This window comes from Homo sapiens, chromosome 12 (genome assembly GCF_000001405.40).
Source record: "Homo sapiens chromosome 12, GRCh38.p14 Primary Assembly".
NCBI lineage: Eukaryota > Metazoa > Chordata > Mammalia > Primates > Hominidae > Homo > Homo sapiens.
In genome coordinates, this window is record NC_000012.12 from 25,125,029 (window position 1) to 25,151,647 (window position 26,619).

The following is a 26,619-nucleotide window of genomic DNA, read 5'->3' on the forward strand; positions in this document are numbered from 1 at the left end:
TTTAGGTTGATTCCATGTCTCTGCTATTGTGAAGAGTGCTACAATGAACATTCACGTTCATGTGACTTTATGGTAGAATGATTTATATTCCTCTGAGTATATACCCAGTAATGGGATTGCTGGGTGAAATGGTAATTCTGCTTTTAGCTCTTTGAGGAATCACCATATTGCTTTCCACAATGGTTGAACTAATTTACACTCCCACCAACAGTGTATAAGTGTTCCCTATTCCCCGCAACCTCACCAGCAACTTTTATTTTTTGACTTTTTAGTAGTAGCCATTCTGACTGGTGTGAGATGATATCTCATTGTGGTTTTGATTTACATTTCTCTAATGATCAGCGATATTGGGCTTCTTTTCATATGCTTCTAGGCCACACGTATGTCTTCTTTTGAAAAGTGTCTATTCATGTCCTTTGCCCACTTTTTAATAGGGTTGTTTCTCTCCTGTAAATTTAAGTTCCTTATAGATGCTGGATATTAGACCTTTGCCAGATGCATAGTTTGCAAATATTTTCCACCATTCTGCAGGCTGTTTACTCTGTTGATAGTTTCTTTTGCTGTGCAGAAACTCTTAAGTTTAATTAGATGCCACTTAATCAATTTTTGCTTTTGTTGCAATTGCGTTTGGTGCCTTTTTCATGAAATCTTTGCCCATCCTATGTCCAGGATTGTATTGCCTGGGTTGTCTTTCAGGGTTTTTATAATTTTGGGTTTTACATTTAAGTCTTTCATCCATATTGGGTTGATTTTTGTAAACAGTATAAGAAAGAGGTACAGTTTCAATCTTCTGCATATGGCTAGCCAGTTATCCCAGAACCATTTTAATTGAATAGGGAGTCTTTTCCCCATTGTTTGTTTTTGTCAGCTTTGTTGAAGATGAGATGTTTGCAGATGTGTGGCCTTATTTCTGGTCTCTCTTATCTGTTCCATTGGTCTATGTGCCTGTTTCTGTACCAGTACCACGCTGTTTTGGTTATTGTAGCCCTGTAGTATACTTTGAAGTCAGGTAATGTGATGCTTCCAGGTTTGTTGAACTAAATATTGAAAGATAATTATTAATAGATCCTCCCCCAAAAAGGGTGGGAGAGAATTCTAATGTGAGTGAAAGTGAAAGGCATGAAGCAAAACAGGATTCCAAGCACTCCAAGTGGTCAGGTATAGCTGGAGTGAGGCATGCTAGGAGGGTGTAAAGATCTGAGGCTGGAGAGATGCAGGGGCCAGATTGTGGACAGCTCTGAATGCCACTCTGAAGACTTTAAAATGTCTCCTATGGGTAAAGGAGAGCTCATAAAAGGCCTTCAGTAGGAACCTAATGTGAAGAAATTTGCATTTGGAAAGAGTATTCTGGCAGCCACCTGATGAATGGGCTGCTCAGTGAAGTGCTAGAAGTCCAGTGTAGACAAGATCAGGACCTACCCAAGGCAGAAGCAACCAGGGCCACTAGAAGGAGCTTATAGGAGAGATGATAAGGAATTAAAAGCAATCTAACTTGAGGAGGGACTGGATATAAAAGTAAAGCAAGGGAGAGGCTACGGCTGATGTTCAGGTGTTGGATTTAGGTAATTAAGGTAGAGAGTGATAACAATTAGCACCAAAAAAAAGAAAAAAGAAAAGGAAGAGGAAGGACAGGTTTGGGGGAAAAGTAATGAATTTGATTGTGGAATGTTGAATTTGAGGTGCCTGTGGGATAGCCAGGTGGCCTTTGGCATTATTTACCTTTAAAAACCAAGTTGCATTTATTTCTTTCAGGGAGGATTATGATCAATAAAAATACCAAAGATATCAGACCAATAGGTAAGTCAGTCTAATTCATATCTTTAAAAAGTTGAGAACTCTTCAAAGAGTTTAGACCAAACTGGCTTCTTATCTTGCAGGAACACTAGGAATTCAGACTTTCTCAACAGAACTTTTCCCTTGATAAACACGAGTACTTCACCTCAGCATGCAACAACAGGAATTTATCAGTTTCTATAGTACCACATCATAAAGAGGATATTCTTGCATATAACACATTGCCTTTACATAAGTCAATTTTTAAAAAAATTGTACTACTCTTTAGCTCAATTGACTCTTTTTTGAAGTTAGACTTCTAGAAGGATGCAGTGAGTCAACTTACATTCTAGCACAAGCTCCTTAATTTTGATAACTAGTCTAGAATGGGTTCCTGTAATTGCAACAGTGTCATCAGAACGTGCTCCCGCACAAAAACTTCAAATCTCATTTGCTGACAATACAGGTATAATGTATAAGCTTTATATATAATAATAATAATAAACTCCTTGTGTTTGTTGGCAATGAAGCCAAAAAAATACTTCTTTATTCCTATTTTCATCATGTTTTATATCTGGTAATGATGGTCCTCTTTCATCATAATTCTTTTACAAAATTGGGTGTTTTCCAAGTATTTTTTTCTTCTAGGTAAACTTTAATAGTATTTTGTCAAGTCTCAAAAACTGACAACTGGAATTTTTACTTCAATTGTATTAAATTTATAGACACAATAGATTTAAAGTAAATAACAATTTCTAAAAGATGTTTGCTTGGAAATGTTGACAGAATATGAATCAGAGAAGGTAGCTAAAGTATAACTTTTCAATGATATCTTGTCTCAATGTATACGAGAACTGGCTTATACCATGAAAGAATGTCATGGGACACTAGCAAATAATTTTCATTGCAACTTGATAAATGCACAGATAGTATAACATAGAAATTCCTTAGTATATGTGCAATTTGAATTTGATATAAAAACATAACCTATCATTAATAGGTGGATCAATAAAAACAGAATATAGATTCCAGAAATAGAGAATAGGATCCACTTGAAAATTTAGCATATGGCATTTCAGATCAATGGAAAACGCCTAGGTTTATATGGTATGTGTTTTGAGACAGCTGGCTAAGATTTGCAATAAAATAAATTTAGATTCATTCTTCTCACTTTACACTAAAATAAATTCCAGATGGATATAAGATTTAAATGTAAAAACAAAACTAAACCAATCAAAAGCTACAAAAACCATGAAAGTATTGGAAAAGAATATATGAAACTGATGCCAACAATTATTAATGAAGTAAATGATCTTGATAATATCTGCAAAATGTCAGCACTGAACACTTTACAAGTTTGACAGAATGTCTTGAATTTTATTATCCATCAACAGAAGATCTATGCAAAAGAAATTCATTGATCTGAAATATACTTTTTCATCAAAAGATAATTTAAATTTTACTATAACTCAAAATAAATTGTTGGAACTGATTCTTGATAAGGAATTGAAAATGAATTTTGAAAATACAGCATTAATTAAGAATAATTATCCTGGGTCTACTGGTCTCATTCATTCCAGTGGCTTTAAATACTATCTATAGACCAATGGTCCCCAAATATAAGCTAGTGATGCTCTGTAGGTCACACACATTGTACCGCTTGATTCCAGAAGTTCAGAACATAACCTGCACGTGAACATGTACGTAGCAGCTGTGTCTGACTTTCCTCTGAACTCCAGGTTCACATTTGCCTACCTGTCATTTCCACTTGCATCCCCCAAACTTACCCAAACAGAACTCTTTGTTTCACAGCCACTCTCAACTGTTTCACTCTATTTTTGTTCATCTCTGTAAACTGTATCACCATATGCCTCATTTCTCAAAATAAAAACTCAGTAAGATATATTTTACCTCCAAAACATCTCCCAAACATATTCATCTTTCTATAACTCTTACTGCAACCTCTGTCCAAACCACCATGACTTATTACTTACCAGTACTATTTAACTAGACACTGTGCTTTTATTCTGGCCCCTCACAATTTGTTCTCCATACAGTAGCCAGAATAACCTTTCAGGGCCATACATCACATCATGTCACACTCCTACTTACCACCCTCTAATGGCTCCCCACTACATTTACAATAAAAGCCTAAATTCTCACTCTGGCCTGCAAAGCCTGACTTTATCTGGCTTCTGCCTCCCTTTCCAACTTTATTACATACCACTTTGCTTCTTGCCCATCATACATCAGTCGCTGGCCTTCCTTCTCACTTCTGTTTTATGACTTCTGCAATAATTGTGCCTGAAGACTATTTTTACCTTCATTTTAAATAGCTGATTCCTTCTTGTCATCTGGGTCTCGGCTAAATAATACCCCATCAAACAGGCCCTCCCTAACTACCCAATGTAAAGTCACTCCCAGTTTAATCCTGTTTAATTTGGTGCATGAATGATTACTATATGGTATTTTCTACTTTTTCTTATTTATTGTTGATTTCTCCTAACTTGTATGTAAATTATGAGAGAAGGAGCCTTATTTGTTCTTTAGCCATCCTCCCGAGGGCCAGAATGGTGCCTACCACATAGAGGTAGGCGTATGATAAATATTCAGTAAGTGAGTAAGGAAATGAGAACAACTCCCAGGGTATGACCTGGAAATGCACTGAAAACATACATTTGTGGCACATTAAAGGTTGTTGAATGTTAAGGAGCTCTGATGCTAGGTTTTTTATATAACTTATTCCCATGGATTTTTAATTTATCCACGATGATCACAAAACATCCCAAATTACTAAGGCTATTTCATGTCTCCATACTTTTCCCTCTGACCAGAATAACTTCCTTTCCTTCCTATCTAAACTTCTCCATGCTACACCAAAAGATTCAGCTCATGTTACCTCATGAGAGAAGACTTCCAATCTGTTCATTTGTTTTTATTTTGGGTTTATTTTTATTTTATTTTTATTTTTTTTTTTTGACATGGAGTTTCACTCTTACTGCCCAGGCTGGAGTGTAATGGCATGATCTCAGCTCACCGCAACCTCTGCCTCCCAGGTTCAAGTGATTCTCCTGCCTCAGCCTCTTGAGTGGCTGGGATTACAGGTACCTGCCACCATACCTGGCTAATTTTGTATTTTTAGTAGAGATGGGGTTTCTCCATGTTGGTCAGGCTGGTCTCAAACTCCCGATCTCAGGTGATCCCCCTGCCTCGGCCTCCCAAAGTGCTGGGATTATAGGCATGAGACACCACGCCCAGCCTATTTTGATCTCTTAACCCCCATGTAGAATCTCTCTCATTGCATATATTAGAAGATATGGTAACTGTTACTCTTCTAATCCACAAGATTGTTAGCTCATTAAAAACAAGAGCGTGTTGAATCCCTTATCAATAGCAGGTATTTGGTAAATGTTTGCCAATAACATATACATTACATATATAAAATATTTATATGGGCCGGGCGCGGTGGCTCACGCCTGTAATCCCAGCACTTTGGGAGGCCAAGGCAGGCAGAGCACAAGGTCAGGAGATCGAGACCATCCTGACTAACACGGTGAAACCCCGTCTGTACTAAAAATACAAAAAATTAGCCGGGCGCGGGGGCGGGTGCCTGTAGTCCCAGCTACTTGGGAGGCTGAGGCAGAAGAATGGCATAAACCTGGGAGGCAGAGCTTGCAGTGAGCCGAGATAGCGCCACTGCACTCCGGCCTGGGCGAAAGAGCGAGACTCCCTCTCAAAATAAAATAAAATAAAATAAAATAAAATAAAATAAAATAAAATAAAATAAAATATTTATGTTAAATCCTGTATATGTTTGCTTAAACTATCTTAAAGCCAGAGACTACTTTAACTTTTAAAAGTTCAAAGACCCACATACTATAATGCATGCCCCTTAGATCACTAATGTAGTTCTGAAGGTAATTCTCATTAGAAAAAAAATTTCTCACAAATGTGCTACACTTAAATTAGGCTTTTCTAAAAAGTTTGCATGATATAGTAATTGGGAAGACAGTATTACCCAATACCTATAATATTATTAGTATTACACATTTAAATGAACTAAAATGTGGTATTAAGAGCCCTCTAGTGGCAAACTTCTTGCTGTACTCATGAAAAAGAAAATGTGTACATCATCTAATGTAAGAGATTTAATTTTTTAAATGACCAAAATACTAAATACTTGTTATTTGTGATTACCTAACATATCAAACATAACTCATATGTTCTGGGCCATAATTGCCTGCATTATTATATCATACTTGCCTTGCATCAGTCTCTAAAGTCATTATAAAGATATAATGATGTAAGATTTATAATAAAATATGCCAACCTAAAATTGTGAGGTAAGCAGTTTACCCCCAACCAAAAAAAAAAAGCTGGAAAAATAGAGAACTTTTTTCTCTAAATCCAAAACATAGTTAAGTTTGCCTACTGATCTTACATGTAGTCCCTAATTTATACACATAGACAAAAAAGTTGAGTATCATGAATTTATATGGCAGTTTAAAACATTTAGAATACATTTTGTCACACACACAAATTGTGTTATGAATGAAATTTAGGGTTATGTTAGTTCTCCTGTAGCTGTGATTATATAGGAATACAAACATAACTTTACACTGTCTGTAAATATTGCTTCACACACACACTGAGTTCCAACTGGAATGGGAGGAGCACACCTTTCCTAAGGCTGAAGTAGTGACAGCAAGAGTCTTCCTATTACCACATACTATGCCGGATCACTAAAGGGGTGGAGGATCAGAACTGCAGAGGAGAGAGTCCCAAGAATCCCCAGTAACCAGCTTGCAGAATCCGTAAAGGTAGCAGAAGTGATCTCCAGCACACCCAACTGTAATGAAGAGGATCTTAAGTATCTCTCAAAAGACAGGATAACTTTGAGGAGCATAGTGGTTGGATTGCCCAATTTATGTAGGCTGCTCACAACAAATCAGACCCAAGTCAGGGCCTGCTTTTCATCATTTAAACATCCATTCATTCACTTCTTCCTTCCTTCATTCAATAAACATTCATTGAGCCCTTATCATGAGCTCTATGCTCTCTGCTTAAATATGAAGTCTCTCAAGAAATTCTTGCCCTCAAGATCATAATTTAGTGTTTAAGGCAACAATTATAATAATTAAACAGAATGACAAGAGCATAGTGGAGGGACATCTGATTTAATCTGAGGAGACGGAGGATTCTCTGGAGGTAAAATTTAAGGTAAGTCTTGAATGAAGACAAGTAGAAGTTAGGTACAGGGATTATTCGTGTGATGGGAGGAAGGGAATTTCACCTCAGCACAGAGGCTTATCATGAACGTTCCCCCTTTAAAGCCAAAATGGGAAATACATCGTTTCATTTCCTATGAGGAAAGTATTGCGTGTTCAGTACTTACTTATTGAAAATTCAAATAACACAATAGAGTATAGACAGTAAAAAAATCACTGATAATATACCACCATCCCATCCTTCTCACGTTCTTTCCCCCACCACCAAAAGATAGCCACTCTTTGGTAAAGAGGCCTCTAGATTTTTTCTGTGCATTCATAAAAACAGAATCATATTGATAATAGAGTTTTAACTTTAAAAAAAATTTAACAATACAGCTTAGGGATCTTTCTATAGAAAAGTATATAAATCTGTGTCATTTTAAATGATAAAATATCCAAATATCCAAACAAACTAGTGTTGTTTGGATACTTTACAATTATTTTAATTTGTGGACTGTTTTTGCTACTATAAAAAACTTCAATGAAAATCTTGGCACAATCATTTTTATTTATTTTGTTCTATTATTTTCTAATAATAAATTACTATAAGTTAAATCACTAATCATAGGCATGTTTACATGGTACCAAATAAGGACTGTACAGATTTACACTTCTAATAACGGTATGTGAAGACGCCTGCCTGCTCAATCTGATAGGAAAACAAATGACATCTTTTTTCTAATTTGATTACTTATTTGGTTCAGTACATTTTTGGCTAGTTGTATTTCTTTTCTCAGCTGCCTGCTCATGTCCTTTGCTTAATTTTATATTAAGAAATTGTCTTCTCACTGATGTGTACAAATTCTTTATATTGGGGTATAACCCCTTGTCATGTACGTTGAAATATTTTTCTTAGTCTGTTATTTGCCTTTCAGCTTTGTTTTATAATGAGGTTTATGGGGCTACACAAATATTTGAATCCAATCTCTTTTTCGTTCATGCTTTTGGTTTTGATGCACTGGTAAGTACGAAAGGTCTTCTTAGTAAAGATAATAAAATAAGTTTCCTATATTCTGTTCAAATACTTTCATTATTTTTATAATTTTTGAATAGTTCAGTTTGTTTTTATATTTAAAACTGTGATTTTTTTTTTTTTTTAGTCTTTAGGGTAAAGTGAGAATCGAAATTTCTTTTAAATCTTAGTCAACTGCCCCAGCACCAATTGTTATATCAAACTCATCCTGTCCATTCTCGACTTCGAGTTTCTTTTATATAGATATTACACTCCTATTTCTATCCATCATCTCTCATTCTTTTCCCCTAACAAATCCCATTAAATTATCTCTGTCTTCCTCTTTTGAGCTGCTGATTGTCTTTATAAATCTAGTGATTTTTGCTCCCTGCAGTCTACTCACACCTACGAAAGGCGGTTTACACTGTTCAGAATCTGTGGCAAGTATAGGCCCATCTGACAAGTAGTTTTGTGTTGGGGGATTCTTCGCTCTAAGCAGTCACCCACCACCCTTCCCCCTTCAGCACAGAAGATGGCTTCCCCCTCCTGCCCTGGCACACCTCACCAATACTATGGGGTTCTTCGGCTTCTGTGGAAATCATACATACTTCAGCATTATTCATATTAGCATTTTCAGAATGTTGTGGGGTTTTCAGCAGAAGGATAGAGCACAGATACATAAGCATAAGCGTCTACACATGTGTCTGTTGGGTGGTGGTGAGATATGTTCCTGGAAATGAGGGTGCTGAGTTAATGTTACTCTCACTTTCTAGGCAATCACCTGTCCCTTTCTAAATCCCATGGATATAAATCCTCCAGCCAGGTTCCTGTATCTACCATTCACACAATTCTTACCATTCACAGACTTTGGACAAGTTTTCATTGCCTTTTATAAAGTAAAATTATTTCTGCCATATCACTAATTGCCTGCTGATCTTTATTTGAGGTTTCTTGGACTATGTATTTGTTTTGTTTTTATTTTTGTTTTTAAGACAGGGTCCCGCTCTCTTGCCTAGGCTTGAGTGCAGTGGCATGACCACTGCTCACTGCAGCCTCGACCTCCTGGGCTCAGGCAATCCTCTCACCTCAGGGTTCCTAGTAACTTGAACTATAGGCACATGCCACCACATCCGGCTACTTTTTTTGATTTTTAGTACAGACGAGGTCTTGATATGTTGCTCAGGCTGGTCTTGAACTCCTGAGCCCAAGGGATCCTCTTGTTTAGGCCTTGAGCCACTGCACCCAGCCTAGACTATGTATTTGAACATAGCCTCAAATTTGATAAAATGTGCATCTTGCCATTCATTATAATGGTTTTCCTTGGCGTACTTTTTTTTTTTTTTTTTTTTTTGAGACAGAGTCTCACTCTGTCGCCCAGGCTAGAGTGCAGCGGCACAATCTCGGCTCATTGCAACCTCTGCCTCCCAGGTTCAAGTGATTCTCGTGCCTCAGCCTCCCGAGCAGTTGGGATTACAGGCACATGCCACCATGCCCAGCTAATTTTTGTATTTTTAATAGAGACAGGGTTTCACCATGTTGGCCCGGCTGATCTCAAACTCCTGACCTCAGGTGACCCACCTGCCTCAGCCTCCCAAAGTGCTGGGATTATAGTCATGAGCCACTGCACCTGGCCTCCTTGGTGTACTTTTGTGGCACTTTCAACATCATCATTTGCATATCTTTATTCATCATTATAACCTAAAATGGTTCAATGTAACATTACATAATAACAAAAACTGGATGTAGTTAAACTCATTGGTAAGGGCCATTCAAACTAAGAAAAGCTTAGCTCGGTACTTTCAGGCCCACTAGCTGTCTACACTAATTGATGACAAATATTGAGAAGAAGATATAAATTCACTATGCAGTCAGTATTGTAGTGGATTCATATGCTTATATATTTAGTATAAAAGTATTGCCATTTAGGAAAAATGGCAGATATGAGGCAGGACTAACTTGAAGCTCCCACTTGGACAGACAGAACAGTGAGTGTATGGAGACTCACATCATGAACTTTTGCTCCAAGAACTACTGCAGGAACACACCAGGAAAACGGAAATAATTCACAGACTCTGAAAGAAGCACTTGCCACTGCAAACTCCATGAGACAGCCAAAATACTGTGAGTGTCCAAAGTGTGAGGGGGGATAATCTGCCTCCAAACACACATCCTCACTGGAGAACCTGAAAATCCAGATCATGGGAGAAGGATTTAACCTTACCTAGAACTGAAATGGATTTAGAAAGCCGAATGAAATATAAAAGTAGAAGAAGCAGTGGGAAGAGCCCTGTAGGCGCTCCTGGTCTCCAGGGAAGCCATTTCTGACTTTTATCTCACAGGGGTCCTTGGGGAGAGCTGCCAGTGGAATTGGGGAAGGACCACAGGGAGAAGGAAACTTCTAGCTGAACTTTGCAATAATTTCCACCAAACACAAATTTTCCTGGGCAGGATCCGGGAACAGGGGATGGGGGGCGGTGGGAAATGGGAAGTACAGACACAAGCACAGAAGCCACAGAGGGCAGCGGGGAGGGCAGGGCAGCAAAAGCCCTGTTTACTTTCTTAGCAGGGAGGCTGGTAGCCTGGGGCAAGATCTCAGCCCTACTCACTGGTTGCCTGGATATAAACTCAGTGCTGTTGGTGATGCATGGTGGGAGTGAGACTGGCCTTGATGGATGTGTAGGAGCTGGGTGAGGCCCATCACTGCTGACTTTCCCCCACCTCTCTGGCGGCCTGTATGACACAGCAGAGGCAGCCATAATCCCCCTGGGAGCATAATTCCACTGGCCTGAGAAGCATACCCCCATCCCCTAGAGCAGCCGCAGCAACCCCCGCCCAAGGAGAGTCAGAGCCCAGACATGCCTATACCTGCCTCCACCTGATGGTCTTTCTTTACCTACCCTGATAGCCAAAGGCAAAAGACATAATCTCTTGGGAGCTCTATGGCCCCATCCATCACCTGAGAAACCTGAATACTTATCCAGGTTACCTTAGGGCAAGCTTGTATCCTCCCACACTACCGCAGCTGATGCCCTCTTGAAAGCGCCACCTCCTGGCTGAAGGCCAACAAACAGCCAGCATTTGAGAAAACCAGTGCCCTAAACAAAACTACAACCAAGAACCCTCACAGAGTCCACTTCATTCCCCTGCTACCTCCACTAGAGCAGGTTCTGGTATCCACAGTTGAGAGCCCTGAAGATGAATTACATCACACGACTCTTTGCAGACACTCCGCAGTACCAACCTGGAGCGCAGTAGCTCCACTGGGTGGATAGACCCAGAAAAGTAATAATAATAACTGCATTCTGGCTCTCAGGAAGCCTCATCTGTAGGGGAAGGGGGAGAGCCCATCAAGGGATCACCCTGTGGGACAAATGAATCTGAAAAGCAGCCCTTGAGCCCCAGATCTTTCCTCTCATATAGTTTACCCAAGTGAGTAGGAACCAGAAAAACAATTCTGGTAATATGAAAAGACAAGGTTCTTTAACACCCCCAAAAGATCACACTAGCTCATCAGCAGTAGATCCAAACCATGAAAAAAATCTCTGAATTGCCACAAAAAGAATTCAGAAGGCCGATTATTAGGCTACTCAAGGAGTCATCAGAGAAAGGTGAAAACCAACTTAAAGAAATTGTAAAAATGATACAGGCGATGGATAAAAAAATCTCCAGAGAAATAGATAGCATAAATAAAAAACAATCACAACTTCTGGAAAAGAAAGACACACTTAGAGAAATGCAAAATACACTGGGAAGTTTTCAACAATGGACCTAAACAAATAGAAGAAAGAACTTCAAAGCTTGAAGACAAGGCTTTTGAATTAACCCAACCCAACAAAGAAAAAGAAAAAAGAATTTTAAAAAATGAACAAAGCCTCCAAGAAGTCTGGGATTATGTAAACAACCAAATCAAAGAATAACTGGTGTTCCCAAGGAAGAAGAGAAATCTAAAAGCTCAGAAAATATATTTGAAAGAATAATCAAGGAAAACTTCCCTGGTTTTTGCCAGAAATCTAGATATCCAAACACAAGAAGCTCAAATAATGCCTGGGAAATTTATCGTAAAAAGATAATCACCTAGGCACACAGTCATCAGGTTATCTAAATTCAAGACAAAGGAAAAAGTCTTAAGAAATGTGAGGCAAAAGATTAAAAGCAGATTTCTCAGCAGAAACCTTACATGCTAGAAGGGATTGGGGTCCTATCTTTAGCCTCCTTAAACAAAATAATTATCAGCCAAGAATTTTGTATCCAGCAAAACTAAGCTTCATAAATGAAGGAAAGATAAAGTCTTTTTCAGACAAACAAATGCTAAGAGAATTTACCACTAAGTCAGCACTACAAGAATTGCTAAAAGGAGTTATAAATCTTGAAACAAAACCTCAAAATATACCAAAACAGAACCCCCCTAAATCATAAATCTCACAGGGCCTATAAAACAATAACACAACATAAAAACAAAACAAAAAAATAATATATTTAGGCAACAACTAGCACAATGAATAGAATAGTACCTCACATCTCAATACTAACATTGGATGTAAATGGCCTAAATGCTCCACTTAAAAGATACAGAACCACAGAATGGATAAGAATTCACCAACCAAGAACCTGTTGTCTCCAAGAGACTCATCTAACACATAGAGTCACATAAACTTAAAGTAAAGAGGTGGAAAAAGACATTCCATGCAAATGGACACCAAAAGCAAGCAGGAGTAGCTATTCTTATATCAGATAAAACAGACTATAAACAACAGTAGTTTAAAAAGACAAAGAGGGACACTACATAATGATAAAAGGTCTAGTCCAACAGGAAAATATTACATTCCTAAATATATATGCACTTAACACTGGAGTTCCCAAATTTATAAAACAATTACTACTAGACCTAAGAAATGAGATAGATGGCAACACAATAATAGTGTGGGACTCCAATACTTCAACACTGACAGCACTAGACAGGTCATCAAGACAGAAAATGGAAAAAAAAAAACAAAACAAAACTATACCCTAGAACAAATGGACTTAACAGATATTTACACAACACTCTACTCAACCACTGCAGAATATACATTCTATTATTCATCAGCTCAAGGAACATTATCCAAGATATACCATATGAGAGGACACAAAACAAGTCTCAATAAATTTAAGAAAATTGGGCCAGGCACAGTGGCTCATACCTGTAATCCCAGCAGTTTTGGAGGCCAAGACGGGTGGATCACCTTAGATCAGGAGGTGGAGACCAGCCGGGCCAAATGGTGAAACTCTGTCTCTACTAAAAATACAAAAAATAGCTGGGCATGGTGGCATTTGCCCGTAATTCCAGCTATCCAGGAGGCTGAAGCAGGAGAATCACTGGAACCCAGGAGGCAGAGGCTGCAGTGAGCTGAGATCACACCACTACACTCCAGCCTGGCAACAGAGTAAGACTCGGTCTCAAATGAATAAATAAATTTAAGAAAATCAAAATTATATTCAGTATTCTCTCAGACCACAGGGAATAAAATTGGAAATCAACTTTAAAAGGAACCCTCAAAACCATGCAAATAAATGAAAATTAAATAATCTGCTCCTAAACAATCATTGGGTCAACAATAAAATCAAGATGGAAATTTAAAAATTCTTTGAACTGAACAATAATAGTGACAAAACCTATCAAAACCTCTGGGATACAGCAAAAGTGATGCTAAGAGGAAAATTCATGGTATTAAATACCTAAATCAAAAACTCTGAAAGAGCACAAATAGAAAATCTGAAGACACACCTCAAGGAACTAGAGAAAAAAGAACAAACCAAACCCAAACAAAGCAGAAGAAAAGAAATAGCTAAGATCAGAGCAGAACTAAATGAAATTGAAACAAAAAAAAAAATACAAAAGATAAATGAAATAAAAATCTGGTTTTTTGAAAAGACAAACAAAATTGACAGACCATTAGCGAGATTAACCAAGAAAAGAAGAGAGAAGATTCAAATAAACTCAATTAGAAACAAAATGAGAGATACTACAACTGATAGCACAGAAATACAAAAGATCATTCAAGGCTACTATGAACACCTTTATGCACACAAACCAGAAAACTTAAAGGAGATGAATAGATTCCTGGAAATATACACCTCTCCCAGATTAAAACAGAAATAAATAGAAGCTCTGAACAGATCAATGGCAAGCAGCAAGACTGAAATGGTAATTAAAAAAAAATTACCAATAAAAAAAAAGTCCAGAACCAGATGGATTCACAGCTGAATTCTATCAGGCATTCAAAGAAAAATTGATACCAATCCTATTGACACTATTCCAAAAGGTAGAGAAAGAGGGAATCCTTCCTAAATCGTTCCACGGAGCCAGTATCACCCTAATACCAAAACCAGGAAAGGGTATAACAAGAAAGGAAACTACAGACCAATATCCCTGATGAACATAGATGTAAAAATCCTCAACAAAATATTAGCTAACCGAATCCAACAGCATATCAAAAAGATAATTCATGCAGCCATAAAAAAGGATGAGTTCCTATCCTTTGCAGGGGACATGGATGAAGCTGGAAACCATCATTCTCAGCAAACTAACACAAGAACAGAAAACCAAACACTGCATGTTCTCACTCATAAGTGTGAGTTGAACAATGAGAAGCCATGGACACAGGGAGGGGAACATCACACACTGGGGCCTGTCGGGGGATGGGGTGATAGGGGAAGGATAGCATTAGGAGAAATACCTAATGTAGATGACAGGTTGATGGGTGCAGCAAACCACCATGGCACATGTATACCTATGCAACAAACCTGCACGTTCTGCACAGGTATCCCAGAACTTAAAGTATATAATAATAAATACATTTTTTAAAAAAGATAATTCACCATGATCAAGTGGGTTTCATACCATGGATGCAGGAATGGTTTAACATGTGGAAGTCAATAAATGTGATATACCACATAGAATTAAAAACAAAGCATCTGACAAAATCCAGCATCTCTTTATGATTACAACTCTCAGCAAAATCGGCATAGAAGGGAAATGCCTTAAGTTAATAAAAGCCATCTATGACAAACTCACAGCCAACATTATACTGAATAGGGAAACATTGAAAGCATTACCCCTGAGAACTGGAACAAGACAAGGATGCCCCCTTTCACAACTTCTATTCAACATAGTACTGGAAGTCCTAGCCAGAGCAATCAGACAAGATAAAAAAACGAAGGGCATCCAAATCAGTAAAGAAGAAGTCAAACTCTCATTGTTTGCTGATGATATGACTGTACACCTAGAAAACCCTAAAGACTCATCCTAAAAGCTCCTAGATATGATAAATGAATTCAGTAAAGTTTCAGCATACAAAATCAATGTACACAAATCAGTAGCACTGCTATATACCAACAGTGACCAAGCTGAGAATCAAATCAAGAACTCAGCCCCTTTTACAGTAGTTGCAAAAATAAATAAATAAATAAATAAATAAAATACTTAGGAATACACCTAACCAAGGAGCTGAAAGACCTCTACAAGGAAAACTGCAAAACACTGCTGAAAGAAATCACAGATGTCACAAACAAATGGAAATACATCCCATGCTCATGGATGGGTAGAATCATATTGTGAAAATGACCATACTGCCAAAAGCAATCTACAAATTCAATGCAATTCCCATCAAAATACCATCATCATTCTTCATGGAACTAGAAAAAAAAATCCTAAAATTCATATGAAACCAAAAAAGAGCCCACATAGCCAAACCAAGCTAAGCAAAAAGAACAAATCTGGAGGCATTGCATTACCTGACTTCAAACTATACTATTAAGCTATAGTCACCAAAACAGCATGGTACTGGTATAAAAATAGGCATATAGACCAATGGAACAGAATAGAGAACCTGGAAATAAAGGCAAATACTTACAGTCAACTGATCTTTGACAAAGCAAACAAAAACATAAAGTGGGGGAAAGGACACCCGATTCAACAAATGGTGCTGGAATAATGGGCAAGCCATGTATAGAAGAATGAAACTGAATCCTCATCTCTCACCTTATACAAAAATCAACTCAAAATGAATCAAAGACTTAAATCTAAGACCTGAAACCATAAAAATTATAGAAAATAACATTGGAACAACCCTTCTAGACATTGGCTTAGGCAAAGACTTCATGAAAAAGAGCCCAAAAGCAAATGCAACAACAACAATGATAAATAGATGATACCTAAACTAAAAAGCTTCTGCATAGCAAAAGAAATAATCAGCAGAGTAAACAGACAACCCACAGAGTGGGAGAAAATCTTCACAAACTATGCACCTAACAAAGATTATTAGATGCAGAATATCCACAATCTATAAGGAACTCAAACAAATCAGCAAGAAAATAATAATCCCATCAAAAAGTGGGCTAAGGACCTGAATAGACAATTCTCAAAAGAAGATATACAAATCGCCAAGAAACATAAGAAAAAATGCTCAACATTACTAATTATTAAGGACATCCAAATCAAAACCACAATGTGATACTACCTCACTCCTGCAAAAATGGCCATAATTGGCACGGTGCAGTGGCTCATGCCTGTTATCCCAGCACTTTGGGAGGCCAAGGCAGGTGGACCATGAGGTCAGGAGATTGAGACCATCCTGGCTAACATGGTGAAACCCTGTATCTACTAAAAATACAAAAAATTAGCCAGGCGTGGTGGCACGTGCCGGCAATCCCAGCTACTCAGGAGTCTCAGGCAAGAGAATTGCTTGAACCTGGGAGGTGGAGGTTGCAGTGAGCTGAGATCATGCCACTGCTCTCCAGCCTGAGTGACAGAGTGAGACTCTGTCTCAAAAAAAGAAAAAAAAAAGGCCATAATTTAAAAATCAAAAAATAATAGATGTTTGAGTGGATGGGGTGAAAAGAGAACACTTTTACACTGATGGTGGGAATGTAAACTAACACATTCCTGAAAAAACTAAAGGTAGATCTACCATTTGATCCAGCAATCCCAGTACTGGGTATCTGCCCAGAGGAAAATAAGTCATATGAAAAGGACACTTGCACATGCATGTTTATAGCAGGACAATTTGCAATTGCAAAAACATGGAACCAGCCCAAATGCCCAGCAATCAACAAGTGGATAAAGAAAATGAGGTATATGTGTACCATGGAATACCACTCAGCCATAAAAGAGAATGAAATAATGGCATTTGCAGCAACCTGGATGGAACTGGAGACCATTATTGTAAGTGAAGTAACCCAGGAATAGAAAACCAAACATCACATATTCTCACTTATAAGTGGGAGCTAAGCTATGAGGATGCAAATGCATAAGAATGATACAATGGACTTTGGGGACTCAAGGGAAGGGTGGGAGGGGGATGAGGGATAAAAGACTACACAATGGGTAGTGTCCACTGCTCGGGTAATGGGTGCACCAAAATCTTAGAAATCACCACTAAAGAACTTATCCATGTAACCAAATGCCACCTGTTCCCCAAAAACCTTTTGAAATAAAAAAAAAACAAAACTACTGCCAAAATTAACAGAACTATAATTAATTATTACTACATGAGGCCACTTTGAGATAGATGCATAAGAAAAAAATGCTTTAGCCATGTAAATGCAAGTAATAGTTCAAATTTTATGGTTCCAAATTATTATTTCACAATTTTAAAATCAATAATGTGAAATTCTTATGTAAAATACTGATAGGTTCTTTGTTTTCAGGAATATAAAATCACAAATCCTCCCTAACTTTATTTTAGGTTAATGGGGTTTAATTTTGTATTTTACTCCATATTGAAACAATGTTAAGTCCAAGACCTATTTACCCATTCTATTTTTTTCCCCCTTGGAAATGAGTTTGTCATGTCTAATCACATCTTATTAGCTAAGTCACATGGTCATGCCTAGCTGCAACATGGAAAGGAGTATAATCCTTCCATATTCCAGGAAAGGGAAGAGAACTGGAAATACTATTGTCTCTAGTAAAGCTTCTAAACTATCTGAGAGTTCACATGAAATTTTTATTTTAAAAACTATCTTATTGCCCAAAAAACATTTAAACAAAAATGACAAATTTTTAAAGAAGAATAAATCATTTCCCTCCTCTCTAAAATATGAGCTATGCACAGATTTCTGGGTTCTCATTTCCTTATGCCTTTAAAATTTTCACGTGCTTGTCATTAGAGTCTAAATACAATTTTTTTATACTTAGCATTATGTCATATCCATTTTTCTACATTGCTACAGAGTCTTCATAATTTTTTTTTTTTTTTTTTTTGAGACAAAGTCTCACTCTGTCACCCAGGCTGAAGTGCAATGGCATGATCTCGGCTCACTGCAACATCCGCCTCCTGGGTTGAAGCAATTATCTTGTCTCAGCCTCCCAAGTAGCTGGGATTACAGGTATACACCACCACGCCCGGCTAATTTTCTGTATTTTTAGCAGAGACAGGGTTTCACCATGTTGGCCAGGCTGGTCTCGAACTCCTGACCTCAAAGTGCTGGGATTACAGGCGTGAGCCACCACGCCCGGCCTATAATTTTTGATACCAGTGTAATATTTTAAATTGAATTCTTAATAAATCACGTGTTCTTAGAGTATCTAATAATTCCTATTCTGATTTTAAATTTGTATTCAATCTAATCCTTAATCCTTTCCTGTGTTTAAAGAAAATAAATCAATAAACCAATACATTTCATGTCTTAAGCACTTGTCAGAAAACTTGAGATATTTTGGTCCCTCATAACATGCAAATAGGCTATTAAACAAAGAATCTGCTTAGCTCTGAGAAAGTATTACTAAATTCTTAAGAGACATTTTTTCTAACATAAATAAGTAGCTTGACAATCTTGCCAACAGAAAAAAGAGAAGAAGCTAACTAAAGGAATATGATTATTAAATTGGTCAAAAGCTATCTCTAAAGATGTCAGATTTTCAGAGAAGAGTGTAATATTTTAAGAAAATTAATTTTTACTTTATAAAATTATTTCTTACAAAACCAAAAACTGAGGAAGTAACAGGGTAATATAAGATTATTTACTGTAAGTTTCCATTTAATGGCAAGTTCCCTTGAATTTGAAATATATAATAAATATACAAAAATTAAATGGCATCAAAGCTGCCCGGTTGTGCACCTAATATAAAAATAAGCAATTCCTGTGCTGAACTTTAGGATGTTGAAGCTAGTGGCTCAACTATTAATTGACTATTAATGGAAGGCAAGAAAAAGATACATATTAAAAATTGAGGCACTGGCAAGAAAGTGGCTCCCAGACAATTTCCAGTTGTTTAGGAAAAATCTTGAGAACACTTTAAGGGAATCTAATAACGCATGCTGCATGAATAAAAAAATGTGTATATTTAAATGTGTCCTACCATTTTCACTTCAATATCACCTTGTTCCTCCTCAACTTTTATTTCTTCCTCCTGAATTAAGTGAGACCCTCTTTCTTGTTGTTTGGACTCTTCTTCGACCTCCTTGCTGATTGCTTTTTCTACATTCTTAACATCATCTTTGACAAGCTCAGTTACTGCAGAAGTGTATTCTTTTGATGGTGTTGAAACAGGGTGCAGTGCAGAAACATGATCATAGTGGGTATGCAGGAGTCGTACAGCAATGTCACTTGTTGCTAATATCCTTGGAATCTCAAATCCAATTTGTGTTTCAGAGAATCTAACACTTCTGTGCCTGTTAATAATTAATTACAACAAAAAAAGATGAGACCCTAGGAAACTCTAGATCTGTGTCAAATTTATACCTAAGCAGTATTTCTCTTCACTTTAATTTTGCTCCAATTTTGACTCTGATCATATGTGCTTTCTTTGCAGCATTTGGACCCAGTTGCTGATGCTATCCTTCTCAAAACAGTTTATTGGGATCCATAACCCCACAGTCTTCTCCATCTCTGGAAGTTCCTTCTGTCTCCTCTATATGGCCTTCTTCCTAACCATCCCTTCAATGTTGATATTACTCAGTGCTCCATCCTAAGCCCTTTTTCTCCTCTCCCTCAACATACACTCTCTGGATATTTTTACTTCTGTGGCCTGAATTACTATCTATACTATCAGAGGTTTGTAATATGAGCTTTATTTTTCCTAGGTTTGGGTAGGAGTATGATGCATCTCTGAATGGACTTTAAGCGGTCTAAAAATGCCCTTCCACAAGTGCAAGCATCTGTAATTACTTGACATTCGGAAGAATCTATGACTCCCAAAAAGTGAAGAACCATTGGTCTATATGTTGATGACTCCTCAAAATATACTACACCTCAGATTTCTCTCAGTGCCTTCAGCCAGTTGCACTTTGATATCTTGTAAGTACTTCAAACTCAGCCAGTTGAGCACAGAACTCATCATCCTTACAACCCCCACCCCAATCACCATCAAAGTGAAACTTGTTCTGCCTGCACTATTCCTTATCTCGTAAAAGACACCACCTAATTCTCTTCTTAAACCTGGGTAGTGAGTACAGAGCTATTCATTTTATTTTTATTCTTTTAAAACTATAAAGAGTTATTTCCTTAACTTTTCTGTACTTGACATATTTTACAATGAGAAAGGTTACTATATTGTCTCTGATTAGATGTAAACCAAAAAGTTGGTTTTTTTGTTTTTCATAGCAAATGGAAGGAACTTAGGAAATATTTTTTTCTTCCCTTTTACTAACTATCAAAAATAAAGTCTAGTTTTTTTTAAATGTCACATAGCTAGTCTTTTCAGAGGTAGGACCAGAACCTAGGCCTCCTAATTTTTATTCTGGTAATTTTTCTCTAAAACTCACTGCTATACTAATGCAAGTAACTTAAAATGTTTAAAGATCAAGCAGCAACCAAGCACTCATGAATTTGCCATCGTCACTGTCATTCCTCAGAAAGATGTTTCTTTGTTGAAAACTATTGGGGAAATAGCACTAAAATGTCCAAGAAATACACATATGAAAACCTATTATGTTTGCCGGGCGCAGTGGCTCACGCCTGTAATCCCAGCACTTTGGGAGGCCGAGATGTGCGGATCACCTGAGGTCGGGAGTTTGAGACCAGCCTGACTAACATGGAGAAACCACGTCTCTACTAAAAATACAAAATTAGCCAAGCATGGTGGCACATGCCTGTAATCCCAGCTACTCAGGAGGCTGAGGCAGGAGAATCGCTTGAACACAGGAGGCAGAGGTTGCAGTGAGCCGAGATTGCGCCCTTGCACTCCAGCCTGGGCAACAAGAGCCAAACTCTGTCTCAAAAAAAAAAAGAAAAGAAAACCTATTATTTTTAAGTCACAAAGATACATTAAAAAAAAAAAATCCAGATTGCCATATAGAAAGTACCTATTAGCTGGGCGCAGTGGCTCACGCCTGTAATCCCAGCACTTTGGAAGGCCGAGGCAGGCTGATCACTTGAGGTCAGGAGTTTGAAACTAACCTGACCAACATGGTGAAACCCCGTCTCTACTAAAAATACAAAAAAATTAGCCAGGTGTGGTGGCGTGCACCTGTAATCCCAGCTACTCAGGAGGCTGAGGCACAAAGAATCGCTTGAACCTAGGAGGCAAAGGCTGTAGTGAGCCGAGATCACACCACTGCACTCCAGCCTGGACGACAGAGCAAGACTGTGTCTCAAAAAAAAAAGAAAAAGAAAGCACCTACCACTTCTACTTTTTTGGAGGGCAGAGGAGTTAAGTGGGTAAAGAGAAGAGGAAGACCTGGTATTTAATGAGTGTATATTTGTAATAAACACTATGCTATAACTATGCTATAACACATGCACTAATGTTTAATCTTCAATCCAATCCTATTAAGTGACACAATCATCATTTTACTGATGATATACTGAAGCTCAACAAAGTAACTTGTGTAAGAAAATGGCGGGTTTCTGATTCAACCCTTAGTGGGCTAACTTCCTGAAATGGGCTTTTCCAAACACACCATGCTGCTATGCAATAGGCATCTATCTGGCAATCATGATGTGGCTCAATGTCTTTCTTTCCACCTACAGGGAAAGTATTGCCCACAAGGGTACCTTGGATTCTTCTTGAGGTTTGCCCACACATACAGAGTAACATTTTCATCTTTAATGACTTTTTCCATATTTCCACTGTCCAGATCTGCCAAAGTACTAGCTTGCTGTAAGAGAAAAAGAAAACATTATAAAGGGCCACAGGCCTCATAAATTATACAAATTAGATAAGTTACTTTATCACTTATGTGTTGGATTCCCTTTATTAATCACCTAAGAGAGTAACTTGGGTAAAAATAAGGTTCAATCAACATGACAAAGAATTGTTTAAAAAAATTCTCTAAAAATGCAAACATATTTACTTACTTAAATATGCATCTCCTTTTTCCATTCAGTTTCTCCTAAGGTGTCTAAGAATTAAAGTTGCTCTTAGGTTGGGTGAGGTGGCTCATACCTGTAATCTGAGCACTTTGGTAGGCCAAGTCGTAAGGATCATTTGAGTCCAGGAGTTCAAGAAAAGCCTGGGCAACATAATGAGACCACCCCCATCTCTACAAAAAATTAGCTGGGTGTGGTGGTGTGCAACTGTAGTCCCAGCTACCTGGCAGCTGGGAGGATCCTAGGTGGAAGTATTGCTTGAGTCTGGGAGGTTGAGGCTGCAGTGAGCCATGATTGCACCATGCACTCTAGCCGGGGTGACAGAGCAAGACTGGGTCTCAGAAAAGTGAAAAATAAAGTTGCTTCTACATTTCTGGGTAGCACCTGTGGATTAATATGTTACCTTTCTCAGTCATAACATCAGAATCATGACTTTTCATTTTAACTATACACATGCTGCTTTATCTGTATCTTATTATACTGTAGACTATTCTACTGCAAAAGTTAACCTATCTCCGAACACACCAAGTTTAGAAAGCAAAATATCTAGCTTATAAAATCCAGATAAGTCATGTTTTCACTAGTCTAATATTTAATATCCAATATTAACCATAAAATTCAAGTATGTTAAGAATTTTAAAATAAAAACTAACACAGTTTGATGCCTATTGCTCAAGGAATCAGCTGTCATAAAGGGTTTGAATAAGTAAATATGTGGTTGCTAGAATGTAAAAACTTTAAAATGTTGAAGATTATATTTATTATTAATTTTTTTAAGTGTGATTATTCCTGCACACTTTTTATTTTCTGAAACTAACTTTTTGAAGTGTTCAGGACAATTGTCTTGTAGAACTGTCCCATATTGTGGATTTCTATTATTGTTTCCTCATGGCATTGTTTAACTGGCTCCTCTATCCTCTTTATTTTTGTACACTGGAAGGTCTAGGGGTTTAACTGGATTCAGATCCACCATCTTCAGCAAGGAGGCATCATAGGTTATGCTGTATTCTTCATACTGCATTCTATCGAAGACATATGATGTTCCACTATTAATGATATGAACTTGATCGCTTGCTTAAGGTGCTGACCACCAAATCTCCCCACTGCAAAGTACATTTTCCCCAATCTGAGGTCAAATACTTTGGCACTAGAAGAATTATGTATTCCTCAACAGCTTTTCACCTAATCATTTAGGTAGCCACTGAGGATCCTTATTTGAAACAGTTATTACACTGGGGATTGAAAAATGGTGATTTCCTAACTGATCACTGCATCCACATTAGATAGATGGCATTCTACTGTAAAGAACTGTTCTTTCTTCACTCCACCTTCCCCCTTTGTTTCTGAAGTATCACTATAAACTCATAAATTTTTATTTATTCAATTTGTTATAATTGATTATAATCATTATTCTGATATTCAAATTATTCCAAATTTGATCAGTGGGACTTCTAAGCTAGCCTCTTAGCTAACGGCATCCCTTTCATACAATGTCATTAGTCTCTGAGTGTTTGCTTGCCTTCTAGCACAGTAAGATAATCCAGCCTCATCTTTCACTTTTCCTGCCCCAGAACTGAAATCCCACATCCTATTTATAGAATAAAAAGAAATCTGGTTCATGCTGATATTTCCATTTCAGATATAACATTATAGTTTCTTCTTCTTCTCCTTCTTCTTCTATTCTTACTTTTATTTTTTTGAGACAGAGTCTGCCTCTGTTGCCCAGGTTGAAGTGCAGTGGTTCACTGCAGCACTGACATCCTGGACTCAAGCGATGCTCCCACCTCAAGCTCCCAAGTAGCTGGGACAACAGGCAAACCATGCTTGGCTAATATATATATTAGGATGAGGTCTCCTATCCTATCCTTACATATTATTATCCTAAGAATAATAAGGTTGGTGCAAAAGTAATTGCGGTTTTTGCCATTACTTTTAATAGCAAATAGAAATAGTATTCTATTTCTTTAAAAATAAAATATTTGGCGGGGAGCAGTGGCTCACACATGTAATCCCAGTACTTTGGGAGGCCAAGGAAGAAAGACTGTTTGTGTCCAGAAGTTTGAGACCAGCCTGGGTAACACAGGCAGATCCCATCTTTACTATCTCTAAAAAACAAAACAAAACAAAATAAATTATGTTTAAAAATAAAATATTATCAGTTATTAAATCTGGATAAATATATGTACTCTAAATTATTCTGCTAACTTTTCCATAATCTCTTCATTTTTCAATTTAAAAAATACTGGATTATTTTATAACATAAAATGTTAGCTCTTATAAAACTTAATATATAAGCAAAATATCACACTTACTTTGAGAAGTATTTCTGTGGCTACACCGAATTTAAGATGAAGGAGCTCCTGCAGTTGTAGTATTGATTCTTGGTACTGTATTATATTTTTATCTTGCAAATCACATGGTGGAGTTTCCAGTAAAATAAATTTCAATTTCTCAATTAACTGTAAAGTAAAAGAATATTTGCATTAATTCTCAGAGAAATAGTCAAGGACAAGTGAAAAAGGGAATGTTTTATCCCTTTTGAATTGAGGAACACATCCTTAGCAAAACATATAGAAACCTTTCCTGTATTTATTCTGTAATTTAAGATCATAAACAAAAATTTCCTCCCAAACTCCCTTAAAATTAATTATAACACACTGAATAAATAAAAATCCATGAGTCTATAGTGTTAGACGTTCAGAAATGAAGGGGGAAGGTGGGGTGAAGAAAGACCAGTTCTTTACAGAAGAGTGCCATCTGTCTAATGTAGATGCAATGATCACTTAGCAAATCACCATTTTTCAATCCCCAGTGTAATAACTGCTTCAGATAAAGATCCTCAATGGCTACCTAAATGATTAGGTGAAAAGCTGTTGAGGAACACATAATTGTCCCAGTGCCAAAGTATTTGACCTCTGATTGGGGAAAATGTACTTTGCAATGTGGAGATTTGATGGCAAACACCTTAACCATGTGATCAAATTCGCATCATTAAATTAATAATGGAGGCCGGGCGCAGTGGCTCATGCCTGCAATCCCAGCACTTTGGGAGGCCAAGGCGGGCAGATCACGAGGTCAGGAGATCAAGACTATCCTGGCTAACACAGTGAAACCCCATCTCTACTAAAAATACAAAAAATTAGCCAGGTGTGGTGGCGGGCGCCTGTAGGCCCAGCAACTCGGGAGGCTGAGTCAGGAGGATGGTGTGAACCCGGGAGGCGGAGCTTGCAGTGAGCCGAGATTGCACCACTGCACTCCAGCCTGGGAGACAGTGAGACTCTGTCTCAAAAAAAAAAAAAAAAAAAAAAAATTAATAATGGAACATCATATGGCTTCTGATAGGATGCAGTATGAAGAACACAACATAACCTATGATGCCTTCTTGCTGAAAATGGTGGCTCTGAATCTAATTAAACCCTCGGATCTACCAGTTAACTATGTGTGACAGCTTTCATTAGCAAGTTAATAAACGAGTGGCAACTTGTCATTACCTAAGACTGAGAGATAATAGAAAAAACAACAAAATATAACAACAATCAGGAGAAGGAGATGGAAGAGAACTACTAATATTTTTACTGAATGCTTACAATGCACCAGGAACTGTTCTAAATGCTGTATATGTTTTAATGCATTCATTCTTCATTATAACTCTATGAGGTAGATATTGTTACTGTGCATATTTTACAGATAATGAAACTGAGGCACAGTGTGATGAAGGAACAACTAGTAAGTGGCAGAATTAAATTTTGAACACTAACACAGATAATACATAGAAATTTTCTGAATTAAGACAGGCAGCATCGTAGCGTAGGGTAGTATGGACTCAAACAAGAATGCAGGGCTTCAATCCTGGCCACCTCTCAACTAGCAGTGGGGTCTTGGGCAAGTTATTGCCTCAATTTCCTCATTGGAAAAATGGGGTTTTTAGTACCTATCTCCTAGTGTTATTATGAGAACTCAGAAAGCCAATATTTCCAAAGCTTGGCATAGATTAAGCACTATATAAGAGTTTATTAAATAAATTTGAAAATTTGGAAATTGGTGTTTACTACAGGGCCATTTCCTTCTGTTACTGCTATCCAACTCCACTTTTCTGCAGCTTTCTGCTTTCTTCCTTTCCTATTGTTGTGATTACTCCCCTCTTCTGTCTCCTGTGTTATTGAACTTATCCTTTTCTCATCGTTTTTGCTATTACTTCTACTTCTGACTCCTCATTCTTGTAACAGGAAGATGTCCCTTGCAGCTCATCACTGGTGAACTCTAGTACTACTTCCCACTGCCTCCCTGCTAACTGCAAAGTACCAGATTCCTAAGCTGACGTCATGCCATGGC

The 26,619-nt window shown here is 37.6% G+C and overlaps 1 protein-coding gene across 30 annotated transcripts in view, besides 1 other annotated feature; it reads right to left on the minus strand.

The window, feature by feature from the left end:
• The window catches only part of DNAI7 (dynein axonemal intermediate chain 7), an 88,114-nt gene that overhangs the window by 17,982 nt on the left and 43,513 nt on the right, over positions 1 to 26,619 (minus strand). For 29 of the 30 annotated variants that reach the window (NR_147911.2, NR_147909.2, XM_011520723.2 and 26 more), the window contains 3 exons: positions 24,600 to 24,746; positions 21,973 to 22,076; positions 19,337 to 19,649 (listed from right to left, as the gene is read on the minus strand). Coding sequence is in view for 27 of the 30 variants with exons in the window: in XM_011520723.2 (XP_011519025.1) it covers positions 19,337 to 19,649; positions 21,973 to 22,076; positions 24,600 to 24,746 (564 nt within the window). In the remaining 3 variants the exon portion in view is untranslated. The remainder of the gene's footprint in view (positions 1 to 19,336; positions 19,650 to 21,972; positions 22,077 to 24,599; positions 24,747 to 26,619) is intronic. The other variant, NR_147910.2, reaches the window with a different exon arrangement.
• Positions 10,687 to 11,186: an enhancer, noted in NCBI's record as "H3K4me1 hESC enhancer chr12:25288649-25289148 (GRCh37/hg19 assembly coordinates)". NCBI's record gives its function as "activates a minimal SCP1, AML or CMV promoter by ChIP-STARR-seq in naive H9 embryonic stem cells {active_cell/tissue: H9 hESC(naive)}" and the evidence as "EXISTENCE:reporter gene assay evidence [ECO:0000049][PMID:30033119]".